The following is a 27,973-nucleotide window of genomic DNA, read 5'->3' as shown; positions in this document are numbered from 1 at the left end:
GGAGATACCAGTTCGGTAATGAGACATTGAGAATTAGAAGATAGGGAGAAATAGAAAGGGAAAAAAGGTCCAGGGGCAGGAATTTTGTCCAGTTAATTCTTTGAACCTTGTTTGGTTAAGAAACACCACAATATGTTGTAGCTCTGTTTCAGATCAGACTACTTGCAGGTCTAATAAGGAAGGTCATGACTTCGGTACTATTTGTTTGACCTTGTTATATAAAAATAGAAGATTCCTTATGTAAAAAATAAAAGTAGAGGTTCCTCTTCAAAGACTTTCGTCCCCATTTAATTAGGAATAAATAGTAACTTCTCTTAGGAGCAAAATTTATTCAGACCTGTGCTTCTAAATATTTGCCCCGGCAGGCTTATACTGGTCCAAGCAAGCATTAAGTCATAGCCTGTTCCTCTTCCTTATTTAAAAGTGTTTTTACCTTTCTCAGCATTCCACAAGTTACTTCCTCCTTCCTTTGTTCTCCTCTACCTTTGCCTCTTTTAAAAAGTTCTAAGTTGCTAGCCAATAGGAACGAATACAGAACGTGAGGTCTCGTTCCAGCCAATGGAAACCGGACACAGCAGTAGGGTGGACGTGTCAGGTTATAAATGACCCTGTCTCTTTTGTTCGGTGTATTCTTGTGGCAAAACTGCTGGTGAGTGTACCCTTTCTGCAGGAAGTAAAAATGGCCTTACTAAATAAATTAAATTTATGTTCATGTGCTGTTTCTTTACGGCACCAGGGAACAAGCATTTCAAACACTTATTATGGCTTATGTCATTCTGCTTATTATTAATATTATACTTGCATCCACCTGCTTTTTAAATAATAAATCTAAGCAAAAATGTGAAATTCAAAAAATTCTTTTACTTAAAACCAATTCAGGCAGGGTATGGTGGCTCATGCCTGTAATCCCAGCACTTTGGGAGGCTGAGGCGGGCGGATCATTTGAGGTCAGGAGTTTGAGACCAGCCTGACCAATATGGTGAAATCCTGTCTCTACTAAAAATACAAAAATTAGCCGTTGGTGGTGCATGTCTATAATCCCAGCTACTCAGAAGGTTGAGGCATGAGAATTGCTTGAACCCAGGAGGCAGAGTTTGCAGTGAGCCGAGATCACGCCACTGCACTCCAGTTTAGGCAACAGAGCAAAACTCTGTCTTTAAAAAGAAACAAACAAATTCATTGTTTTTATTCACTCACCTCATATCTTTCCTCACCCAACACCCAAATCAGCTCTATTAAACTAACAGAAAATTAAATTTCTTAGTATAAAAGCAGTAATAGAGAGACCTCTGATGACTATGATTCCTAGGGCCTTTCAGGACTCATCCAGATGAGGGTTTTATTTACCTAGACAGAATTAATACATTGGAATTAAGTTGATTTATTTAGAAGTCACCATATTCAGAAGTAGGACCACATCCATGAATAGGATGTGGTTCATGTTCTTAGAGAAGCATTCAAGCAAGTAAACACAAATACAATGCTAGTGCTAATTGCTATAAGAAAGGTATTTGAGACTGGGTGCGGTGGCTCACACCTGTAATCCCAGCACTTCGGGAGGCCGAAGAGGGCAGATCACCTGAGGTCCAGAGTTCAAGACCAGCCTGGCCAACATGGTGAAACCCCTTCTCTACTAAAAATACAAAAATTAGCCGGGCGTGATGGTGGGTGCCTGTAATCCCAGCTACTTGGGAGGCTAAAGCAGGAGAATTGCTTGAATCTGAGAGGTGGAGGTTGCAGGAAGCCGAGATCATGCCATTGCACTCCAGCCTGGGAGACAGAATAAGACTCCATCTCAAAAAACAAACAAACAAACACACAAAAAACAAACAAAACAAAAGGTATTTGAACTTGGCTGTTGCAAAAGCTTTCTTTTAAAAAGTGCCTTTGAAGGTGAGGTCTGAAGAATGATTAAAAATGATTCAGGGAAGTAGGAGAGGACAGTACAAGTGTGCAAAGCTCAAAGTGAAGAGGGGGAAAATAATAGTTTTGAGGAATAGAAATAAGTTCAGTATAATTAGAGTGTATATGGAAATAACTATATGTGGTTCTTATAAGTATTTAGAAGGTGGAATTCACAGGATGTGGTGACTGATTGGATGTAGGAGTGAGGGGGTGAGGGAGACACTTTAAAGATGACATGCAGGTTACCAACTTGGACAGTGATTCAGTTCTTTCAGTACCCACAGGAATGGAGGAAGAATTTGGAGGAAGGGAGTAAATGAGTTCTGTATAGGACAATGTATTAGTAGATTACATACTAAGTTGCTATAATGGAGACTCCACAAAACAGAGCTTACATAAGCTAGAAGTCCAGGAGTGAGAAGTCTAGGGATGGTGGAATGAGAGGAAGCCTTTGCTATTGTCAACACTTGGCTTTCATTTCTAAGGTGACCCTTCAGGTTGCTATTTTCCAGTCAGTGGAAAGGGGAGAAAGGAAGTAAGGTAAATAGCTTCCTTTCTAAGGATGTGACCAAGAATCTGAACATATTATTTCTGCTCATACCCATTGGTCAAAATTGACTGAGAAATGTAATCTATAACTGGGCAACTATGTCTGCTGCAAAAACCATGTGCCCTCCATCTGTGAAAGATTAACTGAGGTCAGACTTACTATCCTGTCATTAACCAACTAGAAAAATTGAATGAGATATAGAAAACAATGTTATCAGACATTGGACCACAGGCAGTACAGACTTGTGATCCTTGATAGATGGAAAATAGATGAGGTGAGCTCTATGTTCACCCTGGCTTTCTGTCTGGAGAAATTATCAGATGGTATGAATATGGAAATGTGACACAAAGCTTGGTGAACTCAATAAGCTGAGGAGATAGGAGTTGGGGAGCCTGAGTTGGCTGGAATTGGCAACACATAGTACCAAACAGTGAGGAGCTATGCAGAAATGGTGTTCCAGAAATATGCTTAGGGGTCTTGCTAAGTGGAGGATGAAAATTCATGAGACTGCCTTAGGAACAATTTGTGGAAAAGAACAATTGCCAGGGAACTCTATGGAAAACTGTTCTCAGAGTTTGTCCCATCAGCCAGAGTGGAGAGACTTAACTGAATGTATAAGGCTTTCAGGGATGCCCTGAAGTGTGTGGCTAAACCAGCTCTTAATAAAGCCTACTCTACATTCATTCCTATAAAAGCTTAAAAATGAGCCTAATGTCTACTTTGAGAGAGATGCAATTAGCACACAAGCAGATTAAAACAGCTATAATAAATGTTCAGTATGTTCACGTTTTAAATGGAAACATAAACAAAATCAGGAGAGAAATAGAGGAAATCAGTCCATCTACCTATCAATCAATAGATACCACGGACGAAAATCTATACATAAGCAGAGGATTAGAGAACATATATAGATTTTCTTCTGTAGTGTCTATTGATTGATAGATACATGGTGGATAGATTGATTTCCTCTACTCCTCATTTTGTTTGTGTTTTCATTTAATCCTTGAGCACATTGACCAGCATCTCTGTCATTTCTTGTTTCTGGGATTGTTTCCGTTGTTGATTATCTCCAGGTTAATGTTCCATTGCAAGACTCATAATTTTTTACTGAATGCCAGACAGTGTTCATTTTACATTGTTGATAGATTTTGTTGTTTTCCTTTTAGGAGCATTGGGCTTTGTTCTAATAGGCAATTGTTTGTGGATTACATTGATTCTCTTAAGGCTTGTTTTCCTTTCACCTGCCTCTCTTCCTTCTGGGACTCCAAATACACACGTATTAGAGCATTTGTTCACCACCTGTCACTTAAATTCTGTTTTTTTTTCTCAGTCTTTTTCTCTCTTTATGCTCCATTTTGTTTAATTTCTACTGCAGTGAGGAAGGAAGAAAGTAAAGAAATCATGACCGGAACATTCCCATATCTTGATAAAAATTATAAATACACAGATAAGTGAAGTTCAATAAACCCCAAGCCAAAAATAGAAATAAAAAATCACAAAGAAAATGACAGTAGAACCATCATAATTGTCTTGCTAAAAAATAATGATAAAAACATTGAAAATAAATGGGAAAAGGGAACCATATACATAGAATAACTACGATAAACATCAAACTTCTAATCAGAAACAGTTTAAGCTAGCAGAAAGTGGAGCAACATCTTTAAAGTGCTGAAAGAAAACAAACAACTTATAATTTTATGCACAGTACAATATATTTCCAAAGACAATATCTTTTCAATATCTTTCTGGACATCTTTCTAGAAAATGAAGATTAAACACAGATTTTCTGGTCAAATGAAAGCTGATAAAATTCACTGACATAGAAGTATTTAAAAAATTTCTCAAGCAGAAGGAAATGAAGTCAGTTGAAAACATGGATTGAATTAAAGGAATAAAGAACACTACAAATGGTAGAATGTAAACAAACATAAAAAACATCATATCTTATTTTAAAACTTTTCTTTAGGGCTGGGCCCAGTCGCTCACTTTGGGAGTCCAGGGCAGGCTGATTGCTTGAGCTCAGGAGTTTGAGACCAGCCTGGGCACACGATGAAGTCCCATCTCTACAAAAAAATGCAAGAGTAGCTGGGCTTGGCGGTGCGTGCCTGTCATCCCAGCTGCTTGGGAGGCTGAGGTGGGAGGATTGCTTGAGTCTGGGAGGTTGAGGCTGCAGTGAACTGTGTTCATGCCACTACACTCCAGCCTGGGTGACAAAGTGAGTTAACTGTCTCAAAAAACAAAAAAATTCTTTAAAAGATAATTGATAGTTTCAAATGAAACAATGTATTGTGATATTCATAACACAGGTAGAAATAAAACTTATGTCACCAATAATGATGGACAGGTGAAAAGGAATAGAACCATACTTTTGTAACAAGTTTATTTTATTATACCGGAAGTAGTATAATATTACTTGATAGTTGACTATAATAAGATAAAGATGCATATGGTAACCTAGAACAATGATTAAAAATAAAACAAGGCTCTAAAGCTAATAAGCCAATAATGGATGTAAAATTCATACTAAGAAATACACAGTTCAAGCAAAAATACAAGAAAAAGGGCATTAAAAAAACAAAGTACAAATGAAATAAGAACACAAACAGCAACATGGTAGCTTTAAATTTAGCTATATCAATAGTTACATTAATGGCCTAAAAACTCCCAGATAGGCTATAGAATGAGTCACAAAACAATTTTTGATAAATTTGAAAGTCTGAAATCATACAGTATGTATTCTGACTGTAATAGAATTGACCTAGAAGTTTTTATAGAAAGATATTTGGAAATTTTCCAAATATTTGGGAGATATTCAATGTAATTTTGAATAACTGATGGATTAAGAAGAAATCACAGGAAAATTAGAAGATATTTTTAAGAGAATAAAAATTTAAAGTATAGCTTATCAAAATGTGTGGGGTATAAAGTAGCAATTAGAAAGAAATTTACAGCATTTAATTCTTTTATTAGAGAAGACAGTTTTTAAATTAATAATTTGTGCTTCCACTATAAGAAGCTAGAAAATCAAAGAGAAATTAAATCAAACGCAAGTAGAAAGAAATAAATAATAAAGATACAGAGAAAATTAATCAAACTAAAACAGGAAAAGAATAGAGAAAATCAATGAAACCAAAACCTGGTTCTCTGAAAAATATCAATAAAATTAATTAACATCTAGGTAGACTGATAGAAAAAGAGAGAAGACAATATTTACTAAGAAGGAATACTAGGGGGCCATCACTATATCTTTTAAATATTAAAAGGATAAAGGAATATTATGAATAGGTCAATGAATTTGGCAACCTTGATGAACTAGATAAATTTTCAAAATGTACAAATTACCAAAATCAGCTCAAGAAGAAATTGAAAACTTAAGTATCAAGGTACAAACTAAATTCCACTAATAGGCATTTATTAAGAGAAATACAATATTTTATACAAAGAATTTTTTTATAGCAACTCCATTTATAATAGCCTGGAAACAACCCAAATGATGAGCAGAGAAATCAACTGAAATAGAAATGGGAAACTCTTCAACAATAAAAGACTATACTGATACACACAAAATATGTATGAATCTCAAAAACACGATGCTGAGTAAAAGCCGACACATTGTAAAAGAGTACAATTGACCCTTGAACAACACGAGTTTGAACTGCATGAGTCCGCTTATATTCATGGGATGCAAAATCCACCTTTATCGGGGGCCACCTTTTCATACAGGCAGGTGTCACAGAACTGACTGTGGGACTTGAGTATGCCCAGATATTAACATGTGTAGGGGTCTTAGAACGAACCCCCTGCATATACTGAGAGACGACTGCTTAAAATTTTGTTTATATGTAACTTTAGAAGAACTTAATCTATAGAGAGAGAAAGATCAGTAGTTGTGGAGACCAGGAGTTGGTGAAATACTCTGTATCTTGATCATGGCGGTAATAACACAGATGTGTATATTTGTTAACAGTTACCAAACTATACATTTTAAATGGGTGCATTATGTTGTATGTAAACTATTTCTTTATAAGTTGACTTTAGAAAAACGACAAAAGAAAATTTGGTAGGGATGTTTGTTGGGGGTGAGGATGGGGAATGGAGGAGCATGGAAAGTTCTTTCCTAAAAAGAATAAGGAAAGAATGGATGCTCAGGTCTTTGCTGCAGGGATGCTGAATTTTAGCTTTCTGAAGAACATCCAAATTGAGACAGACATAAAAAGGTGGCTGGCTAAGTTTTGAAATCAAAAGAAAGATCTGTTTTCAAGAGAGAGACTTGAAGTCGTCTGCATATAGATAGTACTTGAAATTTAGGACTAGATGAGATTACCTAAGGGACAAATGTAGATATGGAAGAAAATAGAGCCCAGGACATAATCCTGAGGGTGAATAATATAAAAGGAATTGCCACAGGAAGAGGGTCCTACAGAAACGTAGGATTAAAAATTTCAAGTTGGGATGCTGAGGGGCACTCTTCGTTTCAACAAAGAAGAGGTCTGCATTGCCAAGTACTTCTGATCTGATCTACAATGTGTTCACTGAGTTTAGCTATTTAGGTCACTAAATAGATGATGGGAGCCCTAGGGTTAATGGTGACTTTGTTTTTGTTTGTTCATTTGTTTTTGTTATGGGAGGCATGGGAGCATGTTTAAATGCTGATAAGAATGAAGCAATAGGGAAGGATAGTGAGGGGAGTAACTCAGTAATAAATTCCTTGGGTGACAGGAAGGGATGGGATCCGGAGCCAAGGTGGAGAGATTAGCCTTAGATAAGAAGAGAAACATTCTTCCTATTTTATCAGGATTGAAGGTGGAAGGAATAGGTGGGGATGCATTTGGGTTAGTGCATTTGATGGCAGAAAGTTGAGAGGATGGATACAATCTACTGAGGCCTCTTCTAAATCTGAGATGCATGATCTGTGCTTCTGCAGGGCACCATGCAGATTGGAGAACGAGCAGAGAGAACAGCTTAAATTCTTCCCAACTAATAGTCTTTCTATTGGTCTGATTCTGTAACAGGAATGATCAACATTTTACATGGAATGGGTTTAAGGCTCCTTGCTTTGGGACATCACACACCTTTTATGGTAAGAGATGTTTATTTTGCTAATTTTTTTGAAAACACATCTCACACCTTAATAATAAAAAAAATGCTGAGCTGGTGGACTAACTTGAGTTGTGTATGTTTGTTTTCAGCACATTGGCATGGCTCATAACTACAGGAATAGCAGTCAGGCTGTGCAAGCTGTCCGTGATGCTGGCTATGAAATATCTTTGGGTTTGATGCCTAAGTCAATAGGACCCTTAACATTTGTGTTCACAGGAACTGGTAATGTTTCTAAGGTAACTTTTACCTGACTTCCTTTTGTAAAACAATCCAAAACTTTGAAACTAACCCAAATGATGTGGGCAGCCATTTTGTGGGTATTTCAAATGGACTGGAGATTCTATTTTAGGCACTTTTCTTACCAATGTATTTTTCTCATAGTGAAAAGTAGTAATGATCTAAATATGTGTGTATGTGTGTATGTGTATGTGTGTGTATATATATGTGTGTGTGTATGTGTAAGTGTATATGTGTGTGTATATCTATACACATACATACACACATATAGCTTTTAGTTTATTGCAAGCTATCGGAGTCTTGGAATACTTTTTCTTCGTTTCTTTTTCTTTTTTTAAAAGAGATAATTCAGCCAGACATGGTGGCTCACACCTATAATCCCAGTGCTTTGGGAGGCCGAGGCAGGCGGATCACCTGAGGTCAGGAGTTCGAGGCCAACCTGGCCAATATGGTAAAACACCACCTATACCAAAAATACAAAAATTAGCCAGGCATGGTGACGCACACCCATAATCCCGGCTACTAAGGAGGCTGAAGCAGGAGAATCGCTTGAACCCGGGAGGCAAATGTTGCAGTGAGCCGAGATTGCACCACTGCACTCCAGCCTGGGTGACAGAGCGAGACTCTGTCTCAAAATAAAATAAATAAATAAATAAATAAATAAATAGATAAATAAATAAATAAGATAATTCATTGTTAACAGTGTAAAGGTCTGTTCTGAGGGTGATCTGTTTTACCTCCATCACCAAAATGTCCACGAGTTTGAAAGTGACCTCACGATAACCATTTTTTAAGACTACTTGGAGTTTTGCAAACAAGATGTTAGGAAGATTCATTTAAGACTGGAATTCATGCTTTCTTCCTTCTCTGGTGGTTTTAAGAATGTGTTTGTAATCTCCTATAGAAACTTGTCATTGTAAAATAATTCCTGCTTCAAAGAAAATATTTTACAAATAGGATATCATTCTTATTATATTGTGAGGTAAGCATCTGATTATTTCTTTTGTAGGAAATATAATTTCCCCATTTGAAATAATTTCTGCAATGGATCTAAAATAAATGGAAATATTTTTCCCTCATTTCTAAACACTCTTATCGATACTCTGAGTAGCTTAAGTAAAAAAGAAAAAAATTAAAGCCCTTTCTAAGTGTGCTGTTCTAACAGGAATAAAAGCTAGCTAGCAGGCTGGTTGTAAGCAACTCATCTGTATTTCTGTGTTGCAGTCCTGGTTGTAGGGAAGGCAAGTGGAGCTATGTAATTGTTGGGAAAATGATCAGATCTTTGCAGAAAACCATGTTGGTTCTTTTTCTATTGATTTTTGGATTTTTACTCATGTGTTATTTGTAGGGAGCCCAAGCAATCTTTAATGAGCTACCTTGTGAATATGTGGAGCCCCATGAATTAAAAGAAGTTTCCCAAACTGGAGGTAAGGGACAGGAGATGACTAACTTTTAATGTTTTTAACAGTCTATGTTATAATATTTTATCACCATAAATTTTTATTATTTGTCACCCACTTTACTAATTTCTTTCTCCTTTTCAAGACCTCAGAAAAGTGTATGGGACGGTGTTAAGTCGTCATCATCATCTTGTCAGGAAAACAGATGCTGTGTATGATCCTGCAGAGTATGACAAACATCCGGAGCGCTACATAAGTCGTTTTAATACTGATGTGAGTATCATATTCACCTTTTAAGTTGGTTGCTTATGATACAGTGTAGGTAGGCTATTTTCAAGGAGAGAAATTATGAATTGTACAATGGCTTTCAGTTTTCCTGTTGTGAGTCCTTTGGGTATCATGATTTGGCCTTTGGAGCTATCATCTTTTATGGTATTTGGAGTAGTCTCGCTTAGTGCTTTTGGTGGTTTCTGTGGATACACTCTTTGTTTCACTGTCTCCATTTCTGCTTCAGGTCTACATGTGCCCAATAGCGCTAAGCCATTTCCTGTGCGTTACTGTTTTCTGTATTTATCCTGGACTAGTTAGCACTGTGGGCAGAGCATAATGCCTATGACGTTTGGTCTCAACATGGCCGCAAATTGCAACCATAATCTCAGCCAGCAATCTTGAAATGCATGCCATTGATTATCAGGGTGAGGGTTAAATAGCGTTCCTATATAAGTGCAGACCATCCCCACTGAATGAAAAAGCTATTACACTTACAAATCAAATCCTTCGATGCGACACACATCTTATAAGAAATAAAATATATTTGTGTGCTCTATAGTCATTGGCCATGCAACATTCTTCCCCCAGATAAACTAACAAACCAAAAAATACATAAAACAAAAAATGCATGCATTTATTGTGAAAAAGAATGCTTTAAATAATTTTAAATATGTTTGACCAACATAACATTTTCAGATTCTGGTATGAAGTTTAGCCCTTATATCGTGCAGGGCATGTTAGGGAAAAGAATTCTTACCTTCAGCTTGAGATGTTTGAAGAAGAAAAATTATGAACATAGTTTCAAACTGAAAAATTTGGAATCTAAGAAATCTTTATTCCTTCTCATTTCCCCAATCACAGAAGTATTGGTGATTGGATGCATCCTAAAACTGATACTGACCTAGTTGCCATGTATGCATGTATGTAGCACATTGCTCCATAGAGCTTACAGATGTTATCCGATTTAATCTTCACAGCATTCCTTTGAGGAATGGGGTGCGTATTATCCCCATCTGGCAAGTAAGAAAAATAGAGCCCAGGGAAGTTGAGGTAGCATGATTTAGGTCATACCCTACTGATATTAGAGCTGGAAATATAATTTTAGGTCCACCGTTTTTTGTTTGTTTTGTTTTTGTCCTTTCATTTTTCTTCGGCATGCAATACATTATAGAATGAACACACTAATGTATTTATAGTCATATATTTCTCTATCATAGGGTAATTCTATACTGAAATCTGGGTGGCTATTTAATATCTTTGCCTCAAAAGATGGACACTGACATGGACAATAAGAAAATCAATTAGAAGTTACATTTAATTATTTCTCATAGAATTTACTGATAGCTTTCTTTCAGTATACTGTATTAAAATAGGCTATTTTCTATTTTCTTGAACCTGGAACTTGCATTACAGATTGCACCCTATACAACTTGCTTAATTAATGGAATCTACTGGGAACAAAACACTCCTCGCCTCCTAACCCGCCAAGATGCTCAGAGTCTCCTGGCTCCGGGCAAGTTCTCACCTGCTGGTGTGGAAGGCTGCCCTGCATTACCACACAAGTAAGGACTCTACTTCAGCAACGATAGTAGTTTTGACCAGCTGCTTCCATTATTAGAGGATCAAATATCACATATCAGAGGACTTGATTTCTAATGACTACTTCTCTGCCTTATCTTTCTTGACCTCTTGGCAGTACTCAACACTGTTAACCATCTCTCCTTTTTTTTTTAAAATTTTATTGTATATATTTATCTTTAGAGATGGGGTCTTGTTATGTTTCCCAGGCTGGTCTAAATCTCTGGACCCCAAGCAGACCTCCTGCCTTGGCTTCCCAAGGTACTGGGATTATAGGCATGAGCCACCATGCCCAGCCCACCTCCACTTCTTGAAACATTCTTCTTTTGTCTTCTGTGATGCCCCATGCAGCTCTGAAGCTATTTGCTCAGAGAAGTCTTCTCTTGTTTCTCCATTCTCATCTCTATCTCTAGTCTGTTACTCTGTTTTTTGTTTTGAAATTCCTCATTTATTTTCTCGTGTTTATGATTTTTCTCCCTCTTCCTAGAACTTAATCTCCTTGAGGATAGGGGGTCTCTTTCTCTTGGCCACAAGCACCTAGTACGTTGCCTGATATATAATAGGCATTGAAATAATTATTAAATATTGAATTAATTAATTAATATTTGTGGAAGAGTAAAAGATATGTCTGCTTTTCTAGGCATGTAACTGGCATCAAGTAAATGCCAAGGGAATGCTAGGAGCAACAACATCACCAGGGTTTAGAAGAAAGCAGAAGCATTGGGCGCAGCAAACCTTAAAGGGAGGAATGAGGAGAACAAGAATTCCAAGTGAAAGGATTGGTGCTTAATAAATATGGAGCTACCAAAGCATATTTAGGGTGCTGAATGTGTCAGTCTAGCTCTACATTGGTTCATGTATGCAAGTGGTAATTGGAGATTGGGCAGAAAAATTGTAGTCAACTTTTTGAATGCTGGACTGAAACTTTTGTTCGTAATTCTAGAGATTTATGTGTAACCACATGTAAAACTATACAGTACTAAGCAGGGTGGAGGTAGCATAATTGAACCTTTCTGAGTTATTTAGAGATAACTATGTTAACTTTAGTCTGTTAATGATTTCTCTAGGAAAGCAATTTTCTGCGTTTGTTTCCTTTTTTCTTTTCTTTCTTTCTTTCTTTTTTTTTTTTTTTTTGGAGACTAAAATTCATACTGGGAAGATTCTCTGTATCACAGAACAGTGCAGAGTCCTGAAGAATGAGCTATAGGAAAAAGACCCCAAAAGCCTGGAAAATATTTGGGATCCACATTGAAAATTGTTCCAAACTCCTTTTTTTTTAGTCTTGTTGGAGACTTCAGAATTTCATCCTCTCATCTAAGTATTGATGTTATTTTCAGACTCGTGGCAATATGTGACATTTCAGCTGACACAGGAGGGTCTATAGAGTTTATGACTGAGTGTACAACAATAGAGCATCCCTTTTGCATGTATGATGCAGACCAGCATATTATTCATGACAGGTGAGTTTGCTAAAGTTGTTAGATGATATTCCTCACTTAGTTACATTGATATACTACTCTAAAATTCTCAGTATTTTACATCTTTATGAAGTTATGAAAATTTGGAGAGATATACTCAAACATACTAAAATTTGGGGAAAAAAACATGCACATTTGAACACACACACATACACAAATATATTTAAATGTGAGATGGGTTGCTGAAGAAGGAAAACGTTTTGTTTGAAAAGTTTTGTTTATTTTCGCGTATACTTTTATACAAAATTACAAATGATAATGAAGCAAATATAGTGGAGTAGACATCTGGAAAAGTCAGAACTTACAAATAATGTTTTGTGCTTCTGAATAAACCACATTGCTGCTTTTAGTGTTGAAGGCTCGGGGATCCTGATGTGTTCCATTGACAATTTGCCGGCACAGCTCCCAATTGAAGCTACAGAATGCTTTGGAGACATGCTTTACCCTTATGTTGAAGAAATGGTAAGCAGACTGGTAATATCAGTAACAACTCTGTGGCTTTAAATTGAATAATTGAGTAATTCTGTGAATGTTCTGGTCTTCTGTATCTAAGAAATCTGCTGTAAAATGAAATGCCAGCCCTTCCCTGAAATACTTACTGATACTATTTTATTTGACATATTCTGCTTACTTGTCTCTTGGGGTATAGGATGATATCACTGCCTTCATGCTTAATTACAATTACATCTCTTTCCCATTATAGGTCTTTTATTAAGAATGTTCACCACGTGTGAGATAAAACATGCTTTATTTTTAATTTTTTGCCATCTATGTCAGTTCATATTGGGGCACTCTTATTGTGCCGTAATAACCAGGTCTGAAAAATTAGAAATATAGAACATTTTTATTGGGTTCTGGTCACTAATAGTTAAGTGACAGCTTATGTTGAGGTCATGTATTTTTCTTCTGTGATCATTGATTAGCTAATGAAATACCATGTTATCTAAATTCCATTTTCTTTATCAAAGAAAATTTTTCTTATTTCAGTTTTTATCCTAAGCATTCATAGCCTTCCTGCTTTATTTTTATTTCAGACTGTCTGCCTCTGCCAATGATTCCAATATAAAGAATGGCTCTTACTCTTTTCATCTATATCTTCCCTCATAAGCTCTTACACTAAAATAGAACAATAGTTAGTGGGGCAAGAATAAATGAAATTTCCAGTCTGTGATCCTCTTTTCTTTCAAATAGTATTCCATTTTGACCCTTTCTTTTTCCTATTGGAATATGTCAACAGGGAGATGTAGCAGGCTTGAGAAAATGCAGGCAGCAGGCACTGTCATGGTTAGACATGATATTGCACCTACTAGGTGCAGGAAGTGTTCAAAGTACTAAATATATTTTAATTTTAAGTACTCATGAAAACCGTATTAGGTAAATACCATCATTAAATCCATTTTACCATCATTAAATCCATTATAAAACAAATACAGAGAAGTTAAGGACGTGTTGCTGATACAGTCAGTGCTGGATCTGCAATGTGTCTGGAGTTGGTGCTGAGGCATTAAAGAAGCAGGAGAAGGAGAGTACAAATGCCAGGCTTTGCTGGAGATATCAACTTGCTTTATAACCTTGAGCAGGGCACTCACTTCCTTTCTGAGCCTCAGATATTTCATCTGTAACATGAGGTGGTTGTAATGAATACATAATCTTATTTTATTTTATTTTATTTTTTTGAGACAGATTCTCGCCCTGTTGCCCAGGCTGGAGTGCAGTGATGCAATTGCGGCTCACTGCAACCTCCACCTCCCAGGTTCAAGCGATTCTTCCTGCCTCAGCCTCCCGAGTAGCCAGGACCACAGGTGTGTGCCACCACGCCTGGCTAATTTTTGTAGTTTTTAGTAGAGATGGGGTTTCACCATGTTGGCCAGGCTGGTCTTGAACTCCTGACCTCGTGATCCACCCGCCTCGGCCTCCCAAAGTGCTGGTATTACAGGCGTGAGCCACCGCGCCCAGCCACGAATACATAATCTTAACAGTTTCTCTACTTCTAAAATTTTATAATGGTAAATGTTTAAGTGGCCAAACTGTATGTATATAAAAAATACAATAATATATTTACCAAGGTGTTTACCATTTTTGATGTTCTTCATTCATTTCCCTTTGGCATCATTTCCCTGCAGACTGAATAACTTAATTTATCACTTCTTACAGTACAGGTTTGCTGATGACAGATTCTCTTAGTTGTCCTTTATCTGAAAATGTCTTCATATTCTCTATTCTGCTAATCAGACATTTCTGTGCATTTTTAATTTCCGATGTTCTATTTTCAGTTCTAGAATTTCCATTGGGTTCTTTTTTAAAAATTTTGTTTTGGTATTTTCTCTTTTTCTGCAGAGAGTTTCTATCTTTTCATTAATTATGAGTGTATTTTTCGTTATTGCATGGAACATAGTTATAAAAACCACTTTACAATGTTCATCTCATACTTCCAACTTTCTGGGTCAATTTGTGGTTGAACTTTATTGATTGTCTTTTCCTTTGAGAATTGGTCATAGTCTTCTGGTTTTCATAGACTGAATAATTCTGGATTATGGCCTGGATGATGTGGATATTATGTACATGTATCAAATGCATTTTCTGTATTCATTGAGAAGATCATTTTTTCCTTTTCTCTGTTAATATGTGAATTGTGTCAATTGGTTTTCAAATATCAAACTAACTTCACAGTCTTAGGATAAATCCAACTTGGTTGTATGTTAACCTTTTATTTATGACTAAGTTCTGGTTGCTAAGAAATATACCAACATTTATTAATCTATTTTACCATTGGTAGACATTTGGGGTTGTGGAGATATATATATATATATATCTCCACATTATTTTGTTGAGTTTGCACATAGATTTATCTTGTTTAGGATTATTAACATCTATGTTCATTAGAGAGCTTAATCTATAACTTTATTTTATTATAAGGTCTTTGTCAGGTTTGGATATTAAGTTTATGTTGGCTTGAAAACAAGTTAGAGAGTATTTCCTTATTTTTGGTCTCAGGAACATTTTACATGAGATTAGTGTTAGTTCTACTTGATACAATTCATTAGCAAAACTATTTGGGTTGGTAGCATTTTTGTTTGTTTCTTTTTTTAGTTTTAAGGGTAAGTTTTAAAATTATAGATTACATTTTATTTAAAAACTTAAGAATGTTCAGATTTTTATTTTTCTTTGTCAATTTTGGTATGCTTATTTTCTAGGAATTTATATTTCATCTAAGTTGTAAACTTTATTGTCATTTTTTTTTTAGTAATAACCTTATTAACTCTTTAATAGATTCTGTAGTGATTTCTCTTTTTCCTGATGTTGGTTGGGTATGCCTTCTGTTTTTTCTTAATCTGTTTTACCTGGACTTGATCAATTTTATTAGTCATCGCAAAAAATCAGTTCAACTTTGGTGATCATCTCTATTTTATATCATTTTCTGTTTTCTTAATTTATAATCTTACCTATACTATATTCTTTATTTTACTTTATTGAGAGCTTAGTTAACCTTTCTTTTCATAACTTCTTGCAATAAGTGCTTAGGTAATTGTTTTCCTGTGTTTCTCTTTAGCAATATGTGCATTTTAAAGCCATTAGATTTACTTTGAGTACAGCCCATTTTTGATTGTATTATCTCTTGTTTTGTTCTTTGACTTTCTTGTATATTCTGAGTATTACTTCCTTGTGAGACGTATAGTTTGCAAATACTTTTTCCCATTCTGTTGTTTCTTCACTCAATTGATCTTTTGTTTGTTTGTTTTGCTGTGCAGAAGCTTTTTAGTTTGATGTAATTCCATTTGTCTGTTTTTGGGTTTTGTGCTTGTGCTTTTGAGTTCTTATCCAAAAAATTCTTAACCAGGTCAATGTAATGAAGCATTTCCCCTGTGTTTTTTTTTTCTTCTAGTAGTTTCATAGTTTTAGGTCTTCCATTTAAGTGTTTAATCCATTTTGAGTTGATTTGTTTATATGATGAGAAATAGGGGGTCTAGTTTTATTCTTCTGAATGTAGATATCCAATTTTCCCAGCACCATTTATTGAAGAGACTCTTCTTCCCTTAATGTTTGTTCTTGACACTTTTCTCCAAAACTGGTGGATATAGATGCATGGATTTCTTTCTGGGCTTGCTTTTCTGTTCCATTGGTTTATGTGTCTGCTGTTATGCCAGTACCATGCTGTTTTGGTTACTATAGCTTTGTAGTATATTTTGAAGTCAGGTAGTGTGATGCCTCCAGCTTCGTTCTTTTTGCTAAATATTGTGTGACGATTTGGGGTCTTTTGTGATTTCATACTAGTTTTAGGATTGTCTTTTCTATTTCTGTGAAGATTATCATTTTTTTTTTTTTTTTGGTAAGGATTGCCCTGAATTGGTAGATTGCTTTGGGTAGTATGGGCATTTTAACAATATAAATTCTTCCATTCCATGAACATGGGAATATCTTTACATTTGTTTTTGTTTTCTTCAATGTCTTTCATCAATGTTTTACAGTTTTTAGTATAGAGATCTTTCATTTCCTTGGTTAAATTTATTCTTATGCATCTTATTTTTGCTGTGGCTATTGGAAATGGGATTTTTTTTCAGATTGTTCACAGTTGGCATATAGAAATGCTACTAATTTTTGTATGTTGATTTTGCATTCTGCAATTTTACTAAATTTATCAGTTCCAACAGTGTTTTGATGGAGTCTTTAGGGTTTTCTATATATAAGATTTCGTCATCTTCAAACAAGGACAATTTGACTTCCTGCTTTCCAATTTGGGTACCTTTGTTTTCTTTTTTTTTGCCTAGTTACACTGACTAGAACATCCAGTACTATGTTGAATAGTAGCATCCTTTTCTTGTTCCATATCTTAGAGAAAAAGCTTTCAATTTTCCATGATCAGTATGATGTTAGCTGTGGGTCTGTCAAATATGGCTTTTATTATGTTGAGGTATGTACCCTGTATGCCAAATTTGATGAAAGTTTTTATCATAAGGTGATGTTGAATTTGTCAAATATTTTTTTCTGTTTCTGTTGGAATAATCATATGGTTTTTGTCCTTCATTCTGTCAATGTGATAAATTATGTTTATTAATTTGCATATGTTGAACCATTCTTGCACCCCTGGAATGAATCCCATTTATTATGGTGAATGCTCTTGTAAATATGCTGTTAAATTTGGTTTTCTAGTATTTTGTTGAAAATTTTTGTATCTATGTTCTTCAGGGATATTGGCCTGAAGTTTACTTTTTTTGTTACGTCCTTGTCTGATTTTGGTATCACAATAACACTGGCCTTATAGAATTAGTTTGGAAGAATTCCCTCCTCCTTGATATTCTGGAATAGTTTGAGAAGAATTGGTATTAAATCTTCTTTAAATGTTTGGTAGAGTTCAGTAGTGAAACCATCAGGCCCTGGGCTAGTCTTTGATGGGAGACTTTTTATTACTGATTCAATCTTGCTGCTTGTTATCGATTCGCCTATTCAGATTGTTTATTTTTTTCTGGTTCAATCTTGGTAGGTTGTATGTGTCCAGGAATTTGTTCATTTCTTCTAGGTTTTCCAAGTTTTTGGCATATCATTGTTCATAATGCTCTCTTATGATCCTTTGTATTTCTGTGGTATAAGTTGTAATGTCTCCTTTTTCATCTGTGTTTTTTTTTTTTTTTTTGAGTTGTGGGTGATTTGTTATGCAATAATGTTGCAGAAGCTAATACATACTTAAAAAAAACTTTTAGGTTCAGGGGTACATGTGCAGGTTTGTTCTATAGGTAAACTTGTGTCACGAGGGGTGGATGTGCAGATTATTTCATCACCAGGGTATTAAGCCTACTACCCAATAGTCATTTTTTGTGCTCCTCTCCCTTCTCCCTCAGGAAGGCCCCAGTGTGTGTTGTTCCCCTCTATGTGTCTATGTGTCCTCATCATTTAGCTCCTGCTTATAAGGGAGAGCATGCAGTATTTGGTTTTCTGTTCCTGCATTAATTTGCTAAGGATAATGGCTTCTAGCTCTATCCATGTTCCTGCAAAAGACATGATCTCATTCTTTTTTATGGCTTCATAGTATTCCATGGTGTACCACATGTTCTTTATACAGTCTATCATTTATAGGCATTTAGGTTGAGTCCATGTCTCTGCTATTTACAATAGCGCTCCAATGAGCACTCTTTACAACAGCATGTGCATGTGTATGTGTCCTTATGATAGAACATTTTATATTCCTTTGGGTATATTACCCAGTAATGGATTGCTGGGTTGAAGAGTAGTTCTGTTTTTAGCTCTTTGAGGAATTGCCACACTGCTTTCCACAATGGTTGAACTGATTTTTACTCCCACCAACAGTGTATAAGCATTCGTTTTTCTCCACAACCTCACCAGCATCTGTTATGTTTTGACCTTTTAGTAATATCCATTCTGACTAGTGTGAGACGGTATCTCATTGTGGTTTTGATTTGCATTTCTTTAATTATCAGTGATGTTGAATTTGTTTTCATATGCTTGTTGACTGCATGTATGTCTTCAATTGAAAAGTGTCTGTTCATGTCCTTTGCCCAGCTTTTAATGGGGTTGTTTGTTTTTTCTTGTAAATTTAAGTTTTTATAGAAGCTAGATATTAGACTTTTGTCAGATGCATAGTTTGCAAATATTTTCTCCCATTCTGTAGATTGTTTACTCTGTTCATAGTTTCTTTTGCTGTGCAAAACCCCCTTAGTTTAATTAGATCCCATTTGTTGCATTTGTTTTTGGTGTCTTCATCATGAAATCTTTGCTAGTTCCCATGTCCAGAATGGTTTTGCCTAGATCATCTTCCAGGGTTTTTATAATTTTGGGTTTTACATTTCATTCTTTAATCCACTTTGAGTTGATTTACACCATTTTATATGCTGTAAGGAAGTGATCCAGTTTTAATCTTCTGCATATAGCTAGCCAGTTATCCCAGCACCATTTATTAAACAGGGAGTCCTTTCCTCATTGTTTGTTTTTGTCAGCTTTGTTGAAGATCAGATGGTTGAAGATGTGTGGCCTTATTTTTGAGCTCTCTATTCTGTTTTATTGGTCTTTGTGTCTGGTTTTGTACGAGTCTTATGCTGTTTTGGTTACTGTAGCCCTGTAATATAGTTTGAAGTCAGGTAGCATGATACCTCCAGCTCTGTTTTTTTTTGTTTAGGATTGCCTTGGCTATTCTGCTTCTTTTTGGTTCCATATGAATTTTAAAATAGTTTCTTTCTAGTTCTATGAAGAATGTCATGGGTAATTTGATAAGAATAGCATTGAATCTATAAATTGCTTTGGGCAGTATGGCCATTTTAATAACATTGATTCCCCTTGAAAACTGGCAACAAGGATGCCCTCTTTTACCACTTGCATCCAACATAGTATTGGAAGTCCTGGCCAGAACAATCAGGCAAGAGAAAGAAATAAAAAGCATTCAAATAGGAAGAGAGGAAGTCAAATTATCCCTTTTTGCAGATGACATGATTCTATATCTAGACAACCCCCTAGTCTTAGCCCAAAAATTAAGCTGATAAACAATTTCAGCAAAGTTTCAGGATACAAAATCAACATACAAAAATCACTAGCATTTCAACACACCAACAACAGTCATCTAAAATTTTATTCATTTGAGTCTTTTCTCCTTAGGCAGACACAGGGTTTGTTGATTTTGTTTACCTTTTCAAACAAACTCTTTGTTTCATTGATCTTTTATATTTTTTAAGTCTCTATTTTGTTTATGTCTTCTCTAACCATCATTATTTCTTTGTGTCTACTAATTTTGGGTTCAGTTTGTTCCTGTTTTTCTTGGTCCTTGAGGTGCAACATTGGGTTATCTGAGATCTTTGTTCTTTTTTGAAATAGGCATTTCAAAATTGCTATAAACTTCCTTCTGAGTACTGCTTTTGCTGTATCCCATAGGTTTTGGTAGGTTGTGTTTTCATTTTCATTTGTCTCTAGAAATTTTTAAATTTCCCTTTTAGTTTCTCTATTGACTCCTTGATTGATGAGGATTATGTTGTTTAATTTGCATGTGTTTGTAGTTTCCAAAGTTTCTCTTGTTATTGATTTCTAGCTTCATACCACTGTGATCAGAAACAATACTTAATATGATTTCAATTTTTTTGAATTTGTTAAGACATATTTTGTGGCCTACCATATGGTCTATTCTGGAGAGCATTCTATATGTACTAGAGAAGAATGCGTACACTGGTGCTACTGGATAAAAAGTTCTATATTTATCTATTAGGTCCATTTTGTCTAAAGCACAGATCAATTCCAGTATTTTCTTATTAATTTCTTTCTGGTTGATCTTTCCATCTTTGAAAGAGGGGTATTGAAGTCTCCTACTATTATTGTTTTGGTATCTATTTTTTACCTTCATGTTGATTAATTAATATTTGCTTTATATGTTTAGGTGTTCCAATGTTGAGTGCACATGTATTTACAATTGCTATGACTTCTTAATGACTTGAGCTCTTTAATAATGACTTTCTTTGTCTCTTGTGAAAATTTTTGTGTTAAGTTTTTTCTATCTAGAATAAGTATTGTCCCTGTCCTCTGTTGGTATTATTTGCAAGGAATATCTTCTTTCATCCCCTTTGAGGGATGAAAGCCTATGTGCATTCTTAAGGTGAAAGTGTGTCTCTTGTGTGCAGCATATAGTGAGAGCTTATTTTTTTTTTCTCTTTGCAACTTTTATTTTAGGTTCGGGGGTACATGTGCAGTTTTATTACATGAGTAAATTGCATGTCACTGGGGTTTGGAGCACAAATGAATTCGTCACTAAAGTAGTGAGCATAGTACCTGATAGGTAGTTTTTCAGTCTTCACCCTCCTCCCATCCTCCACCCTCAAGTATACCCTGGTTTCTATTGTTCCCTTCTTTGTGTCCATGTGTACTCAGTGTTTAGCTCCCACTTATAACTGAGAACATGTGGTATTTGGTTTTCTGTTCCTACATTAATTTGCTTAGGATAATGGCCTTCATCTGCATCCAGATTGCTGCAAAGGACGTAGTTTCATTGTTTGTTTATTTTTGAGGCAGTCTTGCTCTGTCACCTAGGCTGGTGTAGTGGCACCATCTCATTTCACAAACCTCTGCCTCCTGGGTTCAAGCAATTCTCCTGCCTCAGCTTCCCCAGTAGATGGGATTACAGGTGCCCACCACCAAGCCTGGCTAATGTTTGTATTTTTAGTAGAGACAGGGTTTCACCATGTTGGCCAGGGTGGTCTTGAACTTCTGACATCAGGTGATCTGCTCACCTTGGCCTCTCAAAGTGCTGGGATTACAGGTGTGAGCCACTGTGCCTGGCCAATTTCATTCTTTTTTATGGCTGCATAGTATTCCATGGTGTATATATACCACATTTTCTTTATCCAATTCACCACTGATGGGTATCTAGATTGGTTCCATAACTTTGCTATTGTGAATAGTAGAGCTTTGTTTTTTTAATCCATTCAGCCACTCTGTGTTTTAATTGAACAATTTAATCTGTTTACATTCAGAGTAATTATTGATATGCCAAGGACTTACTACTGCCATTTTGTTAAATGTTTTCTGATTGCTTTATAGCTTATTTGTTCTTTTTTTCCTCTCCTGTTTATCTTTGTGATTTAGTGATTTCCTTTAGTGCTAAATTTGTATTCTTTTATCTTTATCATTTGTATATCTGCTTTAGTATTCTGCTTTGTGGTTACCACAAGGCTTACATAAAATGTCTTATAGTTATAATAGACTATTTTATACTAATAACAACTTAAATTCAGTTGCATACAAAAACTGTAGAATTCTACCCTCCCACCAGCGTGTGTGTGTGTGTATAGTATATATAGTATATATACACACATATATATGTATATGTACATATATTCATATTTCTTTTTTACCTTTCTGAGTTGGGTGCAACCAGTTAATATTTTTTGATGTCACAATTTTCATCTTTTTAGCTTACATATTTCTTAATACTTTATTGTAGCTATCATTATTTTTGACTGTTTTGAATTTTAACTTCCATCCTAGAGTTATATATACCTATGTTTTGCAGAGTGCCATAGTAGTATCAGGGTATTCTGGATTTGAATATATATCTACCTTTATCAGTGGATTTTTTTACTTTTTATGTTTTCATGTTAGTAATGTTCTTTTTTTCTACTTGAAAAACTCCCTTAAGCATTTCTTATAGAGCAGCTCTAGTGGTGAAGAATTCCCTAAACTTTTGCTTGTCTGGGAAAGAGTTTATTTCTTCTTTTTTTCTGAAGGACAGCTTTGCTGTGTATAGTATTTTTGGCTGGCAGGTTTCTGTGCATCAGCACTTTGAATATATCATCCCATTCTCTCCTGGCCTGCAGGATTTCTACTGAGAAATCTGCTGATAGTCTAATGGAGATTCCCTTATATGTAACATGATATTTTTATCTTGCTGCTTTTAATATCATTTGTCTTTGGTTTTTGACAGTAATTATAAAGGGACCTCTTTGGGTTAACTCTGTTTGGAGATTGTTGAGCTTCATATATTTGGATGTTCATCTGTCTTCCAAGGCTTGAAACATGTTATTTTTCATTTATCAAAAACTTATATTCACTAATTTTAAAGTTTTACATTTTTTAAAAAAGTTATCTATATTGTCCTTTTATTTTTTGAACATATTAATCACAATTTAGAATCATTTTTGTTAATTCCATTACACTTCTTGGTTCTATTTATGTTCCCTGTTTTTTTCCTTGGTTTTTATGGTTTTCAGTAAATTCTTACCTTTCAATATATTTATTTATTTTTGGTTTAATGCCAGACATTGCGTATTCAAAATTTTAGAGATGACTCGAGGCTCTGGATGTTGTGTGATTTTCCTCCAGATAATATATTCTTTGTTTTGGGCAGTGAGATAGACAAGGGTAAAGGTTAGGAGAAATTCACCTAAATTCAGTTAGGATGAAGTAATTTAAATCTAGGTTTCAGTCCTTTGGAGAACTGACCTTTTTCAAATTACCATTTATTTTAGATACATGAAAACCATTTTCTATTTATTTTAATACAGTAAATAAATTCTCTGTTACCAGCACCTTCTAGGAACATTTTTCTTGTTCTTAGTTGGGTGAGAGAGCTAGATCTTAACCTATAGTTAGGGAGGAAAGATTGTCTCATTGGCTCTTCCCTGTCCACCAGAAACAGCAATGCTAACTTATATGCCATTACTTCTTGGCAGTATATTCAAGAATTGGGTTCTTTGAGAAGGACTAACTTACATGCCCATTACTTCTTGGCAGTATATTCAAGAGTTGGGTTCCTTGGGAGAAAAGAGGAGGACTAGAAGGTTGCTGAAATGTTAACATGAGACATCTTACTTTTTTTGTTGTCTCTGACTCAATTTTGCAAGATAATGTGAAGAGGGTGTGAATGACTTTCTAGGTCTACTCAGTCAAGTCACTTTTGCTACCACCTTTGAAATGCTGATGTACCTATACATATAACTACTAATACTGATACTGATCTGAGGGAGACCCCTTACTGCAGGGTTGGTGGCCTTGCTGAGTGGAAAACCTCATTCTCTATTCCTAATAGAACAGCTTGAACTTTTGGAATGGAGTAGAGGCCCTTGAAGGGAGGACTATAGCTATAAAGCTTGTGAAGATATTTGACAACATGCTTAATATGATACATTTAACTGGTTGGAAAGGATAAGCTTTTTTGTGTTCACAGCAAGCAAAGATGATTATAATCCAATTTTAGTTTTAAAATTGGGACTTGTGCTGAAACACCATAGTCTTGTGGGCAGAGTTGATTGCTTGTAGAAGACTTCTATTAGCAATCACTTATACTCGGTGATCCTCAGAAAACTGTTTCTTAAATTATTTTTTTCCCTTGATTAATATTTTAATATGGATACAAACACCAAGAGGCCTTCTTTGCAGTGTCATTTATCTCTTACAAATCTCATTTTCCTTTCAGATATTATCAGACGCGACACAGCCTCTTGAAAGTCAGAATTTTTCTCCTGTGGTGAGAGATGTAAGTTATGAGCAGAATATTTTTTCATAAATGTATTTTTTTACTACCATTTTTGCTCTCTTCTCTCTGTTTCTCTCTCTCTCCATCTTTGTCATTCTGTCTTTTCTCTATCAGTCATGACACCTTGTTTGTAGGACTAAAATGTGGATACTAAAGAAATGTCTTGTGTCATATACATTTAGGCAGTGATTACATCCAACGGTACATTACCTGATAAATATAAATATATCCAGACACTCCGGGAGAGCAGGTAAGTATTGTTCAAATCCTCTTGTTTTATACATTTATTCTTATCTTGGAATTCATGAGTATTTTTTAATGCTTCAATGGGAGTTCTTAATATTAGGTTTGTACACTATATAAATTTTGATAATGTTTGAAAATGTAGGAAATCCAAACTAAGTGGCTGGCTGAAACCACTGTGACTGTTTCCCACTTAACAGTAGTATAGCGTCATTTTGGCTTTCTAATAGCCTGTGTAGACGTATGGGTAAGCAAGCAAAAATCCAAAAGGATTGTCCTTCAGGTAGCTTCTTGTTTTTCTCTAGCTTTTGATACATGATCATGCCTCGGTTATTTTCTCAAAGGAAAATGAGCACACTAGCCTTTCTGTGGTGCTTTCAGTTTGGGTTTTAGTTGAGGATTTGGACTCTCTTTTGTTTAGTATAATGTTCAGGGAAGTGAATTCGTGGTTACAAATTAAGAGAGTTGTGAATAAACAATTGATGAAAGTAAGAGGTAGTTTTCTCCAGGGATTCTTATTAGGGGGAAGGTGCCAAAAAGTAATGTAGCAAATCTACTCAAGAGAATAGTTACTTTAGAAAGGTCTTTAGCTAAGGCCCTTGTTTCCTTAATTGATTTTACTACTTAAAGTTTGAAAACATTGATTTTATTTTTTTGGAATATTCTGGTCTCCTCCAGCCAATTGCCCTTGATCTGTGTTTATATCTACTCTGCTGGTCTTTTCACATTAAAAAAGGAACCCATGTACTGAAGTATCAGGAGAAACCAGAGTTGGAAAAAAAAATAACACAACTGTTTTATCTTCTTTTTCAGTGGTTCTACTACAAGCAGTAAACAAAGAGATCTGCCCAGATCAAGCGTACTATAGTTAGGCTTTTCCATATGTGCTGGTTTGATTATAGTTACTTTTTAATGTGTCAGTGAAATATACTGGCATAAGACACTAAGTATTTACTTTTTTTCTTTGTGAATAAGAGAAGCTAGCTCTATAACCCTGTAGGAGAGTTTCTTACAAGTAAAACTTCACATCTGTTTGTTTTTCATAGCTCTATGTTTTGGTTCTCATCATCCGATGGTCTTTTACACTACTGAAACTAGTGACATGTCTAACATGACTGGTCAAGATGATATCTTCTCTCTTATGTGTCATATTTCATGAAGCAGCAGGTTTACTTGGCTCCGATTGCTAGAACTTGCTGCCCTCTTTCCTGATGGAAACTTGTGCCAAGATACTGATAACAAAGGTTGCATTTTGAAAGGAAATTTACTTTATATTGAACCCTGCCTTATTCTTCTCTTCTTTTCATCACTTAGCACGTGATTATTAACCTGGAGTCTGGGGTTTGGGGGTACTGATGGGCTGGACAGTATTAGAATCTAGGAGTGAGTTTCTGTTTTGAGCATTTGGTATTTGGAATGTTTTAATTATACAAACTATAGAAAATATTGTTAGACAGAAAATATAATAACCGAATAATAGTGGTTCTCTCTGGAAGGTGAAATGGGAGATGGTAGTAGTTAAATGAGACCTCTTCACATCAGTAATATGTGTGTTGGGATACAGAAGGACAGGAATTTTTTATACTTATATTTATTTTTATTTGTTAAAAATTAATGAAAAGTTTTTTGGGTTAATGTTCAAGAGACATTATGGCCTAAAGATTCTAAATAACAGAGCCTACTTCAGTCCCTGGCACTAGGCCATTTCTATGGTTTCATGTTGATAACAGGGAATTTGATTCAAAAAATATTTAATGAGTAAATTCCATATTTAAGACAAAATGTGCTGAGCATTAATGGGTTTGTAAAGATGGGTAAGTCTTAGATGCTGCCTTGGAGGTCATAGTTTGTGGGAAAGACAGAAAGTCATCTGCCTGGAAGGTATTAATATAAATTCCAGCAGAATAGACTGTTCAAGAATTAAAATAATGCCTAACACTAGTCTTCAGCTTCTACATTTAACCCATGGCATGTGTGACTCAAAGTCATGGTTTTGCTATTTTCAAGTGACTCTAAAGATATATGACAAAACAATTTCTAATATGGATAATAATATTCTCTTCCTCAAATTGTTGTCTTCTGGGATTGTTGTGAGGAATAAATAAGGTTTCCAAGGTAAAACCCCTTGTATGATTTTGAACCACATCTTCTGGAAGGATAAAATGTGAGACCAAGTTACTCAATCACAAGTAAGCCAAGAAAATGTCCAGCATCTGCACCTCACTAGTAATACTGGGAATTCATGAAATACATCTATACGTCTGTAGATATATATCTCAGAGATGTCAGGTCTATTGTTCTTCATTGTACAAAATGTAAAATAATTAAAGAAACATGTTGTTATAGGGAACTCATTCATGTTGAAATTCTTATTTTAAGTAATGTGAAGAGAAAATGTTGCTTCATTATTTAGGTTTTAGTATGATTTGTGGAATGCAAGATTCTGTTATTTAAAAAAAAATTTTTAATTAGCCCCTTCCCTTTTTTTTTTTTTTTTTTTTTTTTAAATAGGGAACGTGCTCAGTCACTTTCAATGGGCACCAGGAGAAAGGTTTTGGTTCTTGGATCTGGCTACATATCTGAGCCTGTATTAGAATATTTATCAAGAGATGGCAATATAGAAATAACAGTAGGTAAATAAGCCCTAATTTTTGAAGAAGAAAAATGTATTTTATAGCGTGTTGACTTCTACATTTTAGAAGACTACTTTGTTTCTGAAATTTGAAAATTTATTTTTGGAGATGTTAAAATATATTTTACTCTGACATATCTAAAAATGTGACTTTTAATTACTGAAATAGGATCTGACATGAAGAATCAAATTGAACAGTTAGGCAAGAAATATAATATTAATCCTGTTAGCATGGACATTTGTAAACAAGAAGAGAAGCTGGGCTTCTTGGTGGCAAAACAGGATCTTGTCATCAGGTCAGTATCTGGCAAGAAATGAGTTTCATATTTTTGTTGTTATTTCTTTTCTCATTTTTCTTTCTCTTTCACTTCTCCTCTCTTCATACTCCTTTGGAGTAAAGTTTTTAATTGAAGTATGGGTCCAGAAGGTGCACAAATCATAAGTATATAGCTCAATGAATTTTCACAAAGTGAACACATTCTGTGATGATTATTTATGTCAGGAAACAAGAGTATCAGTAATTCCCCAGAAGCCCTCCTGGTGCCTCTTTCTATTCACTTACCCCATCCTCTAAGGGTAAACACTATCCTGGCTTCTGACATTTAGTTTCTGCCTGCTTTC

At 35.2% G+C, this 27,973-nt stretch overlaps 1 protein-coding gene across 6 annotated transcripts in view; it reads left to right on the top strand.

Annotated features, from left to right (window-relative positions):
* Positions 1-27,973, top strand: part of AASS (aminoadipate-semialdehyde synthase) — a 70,701-nt gene that overhangs the window by 18,152 nt on the left and 24,576 nt on the right. For 5 of the 6 annotated variants that reach the window (XR_007059980.1, XR_927326.3, XM_011515725.3 and 2 more), the window contains exons 5-15: positions 7,468-7,535; positions 7,645-7,791; positions 9,141-9,219; positions 9,338-9,465; positions 10,876-11,024; positions 12,378-12,500; positions 12,869-12,980; positions 24,418-24,477; positions 24,660-24,727; positions 27,232-27,353; positions 27,522-27,648. Coding sequence is in view for 4 of the 6 variants with exons in the window: in XM_011515725.3 (XP_011514027.1) it covers positions 7,468-7,535; positions 7,645-7,791; positions 9,141-9,219; positions 9,338-9,465; positions 10,876-11,024; positions 12,378-12,500; positions 12,869-12,980; positions 24,418-24,477; positions 24,660-24,727; positions 27,232-27,353; positions 27,522-27,648 (1,183 nt within the window). In the remaining 2 variants the exon portion in view is untranslated. Of the gene's footprint in view, positions 1-7,467; positions 7,536-7,644; positions 7,792-9,140; positions 9,220-9,337; positions 9,466-10,875; positions 11,025-12,377; positions 12,501-12,868; positions 12,981-24,417; positions 24,478-24,659; positions 24,728-27,231; positions 27,354-27,521; positions 27,649-27,973 lie in introns of those variants that run through there. The other variant, XM_047419711.1, reaches the window with a different exon arrangement.

The sequence above is a fragment of the Homo sapiens genome, chromosome 7, assembly GCF_000001405.40.
Source record: "Homo sapiens chromosome 7, GRCh38.p14 Primary Assembly".
Lineage (NCBI taxonomy): Eukaryota > Metazoa > Chordata > Mammalia > Primates > Hominidae > Homo > Homo sapiens.
The sequence above is the reverse complement of the archived record's forward strand: the minus strand, read 5'-3'. Positions and strand labels throughout refer to the sequence as shown.